The sequence below is a fragment of the Homo sapiens genome, chromosome 2, assembly GCF_000001405.40.
Source record: "Homo sapiens chromosome 2, GRCh38.p14 Primary Assembly".
In the NCBI taxonomy this organism is placed as follows: Eukaryota; Metazoa; Chordata; class Mammalia; order Primates; family Hominidae; genus Homo; species Homo sapiens.
In genome coordinates, this window is record NC_000002.12 from 215,174,486 (window position 1) to 215,183,527 (window position 9,042).

A 9,042-nucleotide genomic window follows, 5' to 3' on the forward strand; every position below is an offset into this window, starting at 1 on the left:
GTGTGTGGAATTGACTTTAAATGAACCTTGCATTTTCTCCAGCATTCCACACAATAATTTGATAGAAAAATAATTTTTAGTAAAAATATAGAAACACAATATATTAACAGAAATAGGCAACATAATTAATTTGTAAAAGTTCTCCTCACTTCTATGGGCATTTCTATAAGTTACTGGAGGACAGCTGGTAAGAGAACAAGAAGGAAGTAGATTTCAGATGGGGACAGAATCTGAGAGGCCAATATAGCCTAAGGTGAGTAATGTTGACTGGCTACTCAACTGGTTGAGGAATTAAGAAGCTGGAAAGACAACTTAAAGCTCATCTAAGAATCCCTCTTATTTTATGGATGAGGAAAGCTGTGGCTTAGGGATATGTAGCAGCTTACCCAAAGTCCAGAGTTACTAAATTGTAAAATCTAGTCTTCTGCTTCCAAGTCGAGAGTTTTTTTTTTTCCAGCAAAAGTGTGATTTGCTGTTCTTTTCAAAAGGGGAGAATATAGACTGAAATGTACAATTTAAACCCCGATGTGACACAATGGGCAAAATGGTGTATATTTGGGAATTTTATTGAAGCGATAAAATGCAATTCTAAACAATGTCCTGTTACTCATAACTATAATTCTGTAATTTTCAGAACTCAACCAAGTGGAAAAAAGTCATTATTAGTTCTCAGAAAGGATGAGTCTCTTTTCCCCACCTCTAGTAACAAGAAAGTCATATCAACACCAAGGAGACAGAGACATGAGCTCAGTGTCACAGTTGCATATAGGAATGTATAGCAGGTACTTGATTTGTTCTGGAAGGTTTGCCCTCTGGCCACAACCTGTTCAATTAATTGTGTAACCAAAGCTCAATACTTGTTATGCATTTATCCATTCCTTTAACAACAACAAACCGTATTGCCCGTAGAAAGAGGGCAGACAAGGTCCTAACAGATTGGGTAAGGGGTTAAGGCCAGAAATGGCCCTCCTCCTGTGAATACTGACCCTTGCCTTCAATTTGCCATTATTTTTTGTTGATACATAATATTTGTACATATTTGTAGAGTACATGTGATATTTTCTTACATGCACAGAATGTGTTAATGATCAAGTCATTAAAGGTATTAAAGGTATCCATCACCTCAAGTATTCATCATTGCTGTGTGGTGGGAACATTTCAAGTGCTCTCTATTAGTTATTTTTAAACATGAGGTACATCGTTGTCAACTATAGTCACACTACTCTGCTGCTGAACATTTTAACCAATTACTTCTGTCTAATTATATGTTTGTACCCATTAACCAACCTCTCTTCATGCCCTCTCTCCTATCCACACACCTTTCCTAATCTCTGGCCTCTATCATTCTACTCTCTACTTCTATGAAATCCACTTTCTTTAGCTGCCACATGTGTGTGAGAACATATGATATTTCCTTTTCTCAGCCTGGCTTATTTCACTTAACATGATGACCTCCATTTCCATCCACATTGCTGCAAATGACATGATTTCATTCTTTTTTATAGCCAAGTAGTATTATATTGTGTATATATACCACATTTTCTTTATTCATTCATTCAGTGACAGATATTTGGATTGATTCTGTATTTTTGCTGCTGTGAATAGTGCTGCAGTGCAGGTATCCCTTTGATATACTGACATCCAAAAGAAAGGATATCAGTATATTGATATCAGTATTTCAAAGGGATACCTGCACTCCACTCAAATATTGGGATTGCTAAATTGCGTGGTAGTTCTATTTTTAGTTTTTTGGGAAATCACCATACTGTTTTCCACAATGGCTATATTAACATACGTTCCCACCAACCATGTATAACAGTTCCCTTTTCTCCACATTTTCAGCATCATCTTTTGTTGTTAATAATACTCAATCTACCTAAGGTAAAATGATATCTTATTGTGGCTTTGATTTGCATTTCCTGTTGATTAGTGGTGTTAATTTTTTATATACCTGTATGTCTTCTTTTGAGAAATGTCCATTCATGTTAACTTTTTAATGGGATTCTTTGTTTTCTTACTGTTGTTTTAGTTCCTTGTATATTACGGAAATTAGTTCCTTGCTGGATAAACAGTTTGCAAATATGTTTTCCCACTCAACAGGTTGCCTCTTCACTGTGTTATTTTCTCTTCTGTGCAGAAGCTTTTTAGTTTAATATGGCCCTATTTGCCTACTTTTGTTTTTGTTGACTATGCATTTGAGTTTCTAGCCATGAAATGTTTGCCTAATGTCTTGAAATGTTTCCCCTATGTTTTCCTCTAGCAGGTTTATAGTTTGGGCTCTTACATGTAAGTCTTTAATGTACTTCGAGTTTATTTTTGTATATGGTGAGAGATAGGAAATCAGTTTCATTCTTCTGAATATGAATCCAGTTTTGCCAGCACCATTTATTGATGAAGATATTCTTTCCCCAGTGTATGTTCTTGGTGCCTTTGTCCAAATCATTTGGCTATAAATATATATTTATGTTTTCCCTATTCTGTTCCATTTGTCTATGTGTACGCTTTTATACCAATACTATCTGTTTTGGTTACTATCACCTCGTAAAATATTTTGAAGTCAGGTAGCGTGATGCCTCCAACTTTGTTCTTTTAGCTTAGGATTGCTTTGGCTATTTGGGATCTGATATGGTTTAGATTTGTGTCCCCACCCAAATCTCATGTTGAATCGTAATCCCTAGTGTTGGAGGAGAGGCCTGGAGGGAGGTGATTGGATCCTAGGGGCAGTTTTCCCCTTGCTGTTCTCTTGATAGTGAGTTCTCATGAGATCTTGTTGTTTAAAAGTGTGTGGCACCTCTTCCTTTTCTGTCTTCCTCCTGCTCAGGTCATGTAAGATGTACCTTCTTCCCCTTCGCTTTCTGCCATGATTGTAAGTTTCCTGAGGCCTCCCCAGCCATGCTTCCTGTTGAGCCTGTGGAACTGTGACCCAATTAAACCTCTTTTGCTTATAAATTACCCAGTTGTGGTGTTTCTTTACAGCAGTGTGAAAACAGACTAATACAGGCTCTTTCTTGGTTCTGTACAAATTTTAGGATTTTTTTTCTGTTTCTATAAAAAATGACATTGATATTTTGATAGCAATTGCATTGAATCTATAGATGGCTTTGGGTAGTATGGGCATTTCAACACTGTTAATTTTTCTGATCCATGCGCATGAGATGTCTTTCCATTTGTTTGTGTCCTCTTCAGTTTATTTTATCAGTGTTTTGTAGTTTTCCTTGTAGTCATTCATCCACTTGGGTAAATTTATTCCTAGGTATTTTTTGTAGCTATTGTAAATGGTATTGCCTTCTTGATTTTTTTTCAGCTAGTTCATTATTGGTGTATAGAAATATTACTAATTTTAATTATTGATTTTGTATCCTGAGACTTTACTGAATTTCTTAGTTTTAAGAGTTTTTTGGTGGGGTTTTTGGTTTGTGAAGAGTTTTTATCATGAAGACAAGTTGAATTTTATCAAATGCTTTTTTTTGCATCTTTTGAGATGATCATATGGTTTTTGTCCTTCATTATTGTATTAGTCTTTTCTCACACTGCTATAAAGAACTACCTGAGACTGGGTAACTCATAAAGAAAAGAGGTTTAATTGAATCACAGTTTCACAGGCTGTGCAGGAGGCATGGCTAGGGAGGCCTGAGGAAACTTATAATCATGGTGGAAGTCGAAGGGGAAGCAAGCATAATCTTCACACGGCAGAGCAGGAGAGACAGCATCTGGTATCATAGAATGAGTTAGGGGTAATTCCCTCCTCTTCAACTTTTTGGAATAGTTTCAGGAAAATTAGCATTAATTCTTTATACATTTGGTACAATTTGGCAGTGAAGCATCTGGTCTTCGGCTTTTCTTTCCTCAGAGACTTTTTATTACTGGTTTAATCTTGTTACTCATTGGTCTGTTCAGGTTTTCTATTTTTTTTCTGATTCAACCTTAGAAGATGGTATGTGTTCAGGAATTTATCCATTTCCTCTAGGTTTTCCGGTTTGTTAGTGCATAGTTGTTCATAATAGTCTCTAATGAGACTATTCATTTCATTAATCCTTTGTATTTTTTTTTTTTTTTTTTTTGAGATGGAGTCTTGCTCTGTCGCCCAGGCTGGAGTGCAGTGGCTCAATCTCGGCTCACTTCAAGCTCCGCCTCCGAGGTTCACGCCATTCTCCTGCCTCAGCCTCCCGAGTAGATGGGACTACCAGGTGCCCACCAACACGCCCGGCTAATTTTTTGTATTTTTAGTAGAGACGGGGTTTCACCGTGTTAGCCAGGATGGTCTCGATCTTCTGACCTCGTGATCCGCCCGCATCGGCCTCCCAAAGTGCTGGGATTACAGGCGTGAGCCACAGTGACCGGCCTGTATTGTTTTTTTAAGTCTCTATTTTATTTAGTTCTGCTCTGATCTTTATCGTTTCTTTCCTTCCACTAATCTTGGATGTGGTTTGTTCTTGCTTTTCAAGTTCCTTGAGGTGCATCATTAGACTGTTTATTTGAAATCTTCCATTTTTCTGATGTAGGTATTACTGCTACAAATGTCCATCTTAGCACTGCTTTTGCTATATCCCATAGTTTTGGGTATGCTGTGTTTCAATTTTCTTTTGTTTCAATACATTTTTAAAATTTTCTCTCTTAATTTCTTCATTGACCCAGTGGTTATTCAGGAGCACGTTGTTTAACTTCCATGTATTTGTATCATTTCCAAAGTTACTCTTATTGATTGCTAGTTTTAGTCCACTTTTATTCCAGTTTTATTAATAGTGGAAAACTTCCCGAGTCTAGCAGGATGTTTACACATCTGGATACAAGAAGCTCAGAGATTCTCAAATATTTATAATGCAAAAAGACATTCTCCACAGCACATTATAGTCAAGCTGTAAAAAGTCAAAAATAAAGAGAATTGTAAAAACAGTAAGAGAAAAGTATCTAGTCACCTGTAAGGGAATCTAATCAGATTAACAGTAAAGATACTTGCTCTGAGTACATACTTGATGTGATTTTGATTTTTAAAAAATTTGCTGAGACTTCTTTTGTGAACTAATGTGATTTATCCTGGAGAATGTTTCATGTGCTAATTAGACGAATGTGTATTTTGTAGCCATTGGAAACAGTAAAGGTTAAGTTCATTGGTCTAAAGTCCAGTTTAAGTTCAGTGTTTCTTTTTTGTTTTCTGTCCACATGACCTGTCTATTGCTGCGAATGGGGTGTTGAAGTCCCCCACTATTATTGTACATTGTATTGGAGTCTATTTTTTCCTTTACATCTAGTAATATAATTTTTTTTTTGAGGCCGAGTCTCATTCTGTTGCCCAGGCTGGAGTGCAGTGGTGTGATCTCGGCTCACCACAACCTTTGCCTTCTGGGTTCAAGCAATTCTCCTGCCTCAGCCTCCTGAGTAGCTGGGACTACAGGCGTGTGCCACCGTGCCCGGCTAATTTTTATATTTTTAGTAGAGACAGGGTTTCACTATGTTGGCCATGCTGGTCTTGAACTCCCGACCTTGTGAAGCATCCATCTCAGCCTCCCAAAGTGCTAAGATTACAGGCGTGAGCCACCACACCTGGCCTACATCTAGTAATATAATATTTATGTATCAGAGTTCTCCGGTGTTGAGTGCATATAAATTTATAATTGTTATATCCTTTTGCCGAATTGATCTCTTTATCATTGTATAATGACCTTCTTTGTCTTTTTAAATGTTTTTGAATTAAAGCCTGTTTTGTAAGTACAACTACTCCTGACTGCTTTTGGTTTCCATTTGTATAAATTATCTTTTATCCATCTCTTTACTTCTTTTAGTCTATATGTATCTTTATATATAGACTATCTTTTACATATATTTTAGTCTATCTTTACATATAGACTAAAAGGTAAATTTAGTTTCTTGTAGATAGCATATAATTGGATCATGTGTTTAAAATCCATTCAGCCAGTCTATACAATTTAAGTGGAAAACTTATTCCATTTAATTCAAGGTTATTATTGACATATCAGGTTTTATTCCTATCATATTTTAAATTGTTTTCTGAATGTGTTATATAACCTTTGTTCCTTTCTTTTCCACTTATTGTTTATCATTATAGTTTGGTGGTTTTCTGTATAAAAGATACATTTTGTAGGGGTAACATTTCAGTCATTTCTCTTCCCCATTTGTGTGTTTGCCTGCCCAGTGTGTTTTATACTTTTGTGTGTTTCATTATGGTAGATATTGTCCTTTTGCTTCCAGGTTTAGGACTCTCTTAAGCATTTCTTGTAGGTCCTTTCTAGTGGTGATGAATTCCTTCAGTTTTTGCTTATTTGGAAAATATTTTATTTCTCATTTGTTTATGAAAGATAACTTAGTTTGGTATAGTGTTCTTGGCTGGCAGTTTTTTCTTTGAGCACTCTGAATACATCATCCCATTCTCTCCTTGCCTGTAAGGTTTCTGCTGAGAAATCCACTGTTAGTCTGATGAGATCCCCTTATAAGTGACTACATGCTTTTCTCTTGCCATTTTTACAATTCTCTCTGTCTTTGACTTTTGACAGCTTGACTATAATGTGCTGTGGAGAATATCTTTTTGTATTATAAATATTTGAGAATCTCTAAGCTTCCTGTATCCAGATGTGTAAATGTCCTGGTAGATTTGGGAAGTTTTTCCACTATTAATTTATTAAATGTACTTTCTTTCTCTTTGGTTTTCTCTTCACCTTCTGGAACACTGAAAATTTGATTATTTTATCACTTACAGTATTCCATATGACATGTAGGCTTTGTTCATTCTTTTTAATTCTTTTTTCTTTTTTTCAGCTGACTGGGTTATTTAAAAAGGGCTGTCTTGAAGTTCTAAAATTCTTTCTTCTGCTTGATCTAGTCTATCATTGAAGCTCTTTAATATTTTGAATTTTTATTTTATTTAATGAATTATTCAGTTTCAAAATTTGTCTGGTTCTTTTTTTACTTTGGTAAATTTCTTATTTATATCCTGAATTGTTCTTCAGATTCCTTTGTATTGTTTATCTGTGTTCTCTTATATCTCACTGGGCTTCCTTAATATCATTATTTTTAATTATTTTCCTGGCATTTCATAAATCTCTTTTTCATTGGAATCTGTTGCGGAAGAATTATTGCATTCCTCTGAACATGTAACAGTTCCTTACTTCTTTTATGTTTGTTAGGTCCTTATGTTGATACCCGCTCACCTAGCACAATAGTCACTTTCCCCAATGTTTCGGATTTGCTTTCATAAGGGAGGATTTTTTCCTGAATATGTATCTCTGGTGTTGGTTGGGTAGCGCACTTTGGTTTTGAGTCTGGGTGTGCGCAGTAGTGTAGTCACCATATAATTTTGGGTCAGTGGTGTCTGTTATTTCCTCAGTGTCTTAGGGTATGGTTGTTAGTGGAAGCTGTGGTGAAATTTTGCTGGAGATGGGGATGCCAGGTGGGCTGATCGCTTGTTCCCAGTGGTGGCAGTGGTTGGCTGAGAATGCCTCTCCTTGAACCTAAGGGCAGCATACACTGGCAATGGTGTTAGTGGGTTCTGGAAGGCTAATTCTTAGGCTTCCAGGTAGCTTCCTTGGGTGCCAGCAGTGGTAGTAGTGGGCTGGGCAAGTGAGTGTGTCCTCAGGCCCCTAGATAGTAGGCATGGTGTTGGTGATGGCAGTAGCAGTGTTGGGACAGCTCTTAGAATGCCAAGCGGTCCGTCCTGGTTTTGGCAGTGTCTGCTACAGTCCAGGTGGACCAGTCCACAGGGCCCTGGGAGGAGTACTCTAGTGCCAATCAGTGGTGGACATGACAGAGTGATCCCTTAGCCTTGCATACTGTGCTCAGACACCGGGGGAGGCAAAGCTAGGCTGGGTGGACCTGTCCTTAGGTCCCCAGGTATGTATATGTATGGGTACTGGCTGTGGTGAGTATTGTTGAGGTGATCCCCTGCCCCCGTCAGAGTGCTCAGGTGGTGAAGGCAGCAGGTGTGCTGCAGCCCTGCTGCTGGGGAGGTCAGAGCTGCTGTAGGTTGGTGGCTGTAGGATGGTGGCTGGGGATCACAAGCTTCAGGCCCAGGTGGTGGCTGCGGGTTGGGTTTCCTGGCTTCAAGGCACGTGAAAACGTGCAACAGCCCCACTTCTTGGGGGTAGGTTTGCTGCCAGTGACTCCTGCTTCAGCCCAAGAAGTGGCAGCCAACAGCAGTGACAACTGTAGGCAGGGGATGTCAATGGGGTACCAGGGATATAGAGATGCAGGGACTATTGGGCCCTAGGGAAGGATTCAGTCTGGTAGAGACTGGACTCTCAAAATCTCACCATGCTGTAGCTGCTTGGGATCTTGGGGTGTGTGGGACCCCACATGAGATCCCTTTCTGGAGCAATGCTGTCGTGCCATCTGCAGGCAGCCCCCTATGCTAATTTCAGGCCCTGCAATGGTGGAGGGGCTTTCCCATGGCTAGGACTGGAGGAGCCCATGGTGGAAATGTAGACGACTGGGGACGTCTCACTTACCCTTTTCTCACGTTGGGGAGCTTCTCTGGGCTCCCAGCTGATCCTGCCAAACAGACTGCCTCACTTCTTTCTCTTTCCTTTTAGGTGTTTCTTGTCACTTCACTTTTGAAATCCAGTATTTACTCGCTATTTTGATTCTTCTTTATGGAGGAGGTGACTGTCAGATGCCTCTAGTCAGCCATCTTTAATCTCCTCCGCACAATTTGCCATTCTTGAGAGACTATTGTGCTAATGAACATGAGGGAGAGAGGGAGAGGGAGAGAGACAGACTCAATCCAACCAAGAACTGATCATAAATTTTTCACTTGAGTACTAACAACTATAGTTATTGGTTACAGGACAGTGTTTACAAAGTTTGCAATATGTAATTTTTATTCATTGACCAAATAAATGTATCACTGATCAATAAAATATTTTTTGTTTATAGGCTTTTATACCTGCTCCTTGGTCCCTGGATATTTGCAAGAGCAAAGCATCATAAAAGGACCAGACACATAATAACAGAATAGCAGCATTATCTTTCCAGAATTAACTGTTAACCATTCTTGATCAAGCTCAAGCAAGTCCAACCAGTCAGATACTTATA

General features: G+C 38.5%; 1 long non-coding RNA gene across 1 annotated transcript; it reads right to left on the reverse strand.

Moving 5' to 3' along the window:
- Window positions 1-545: 545 nt before the first annotated feature.
- LOC124907974 (uncharacterized) lies at window positions 546-8,679 on the reverse strand. The gene is made up of 2 exons (XR_007088074.1): window positions 8,457-8,679; window positions 546-4,856 (listed from the first exon to the last, which is right to left on the reverse strand). It is a non-coding gene; the product is annotated as an uncharacterized LOC124907974 (long non-coding RNA).
- Between the last annotated feature and the right edge of the window lie 363 nt (window positions 8,680-9,042).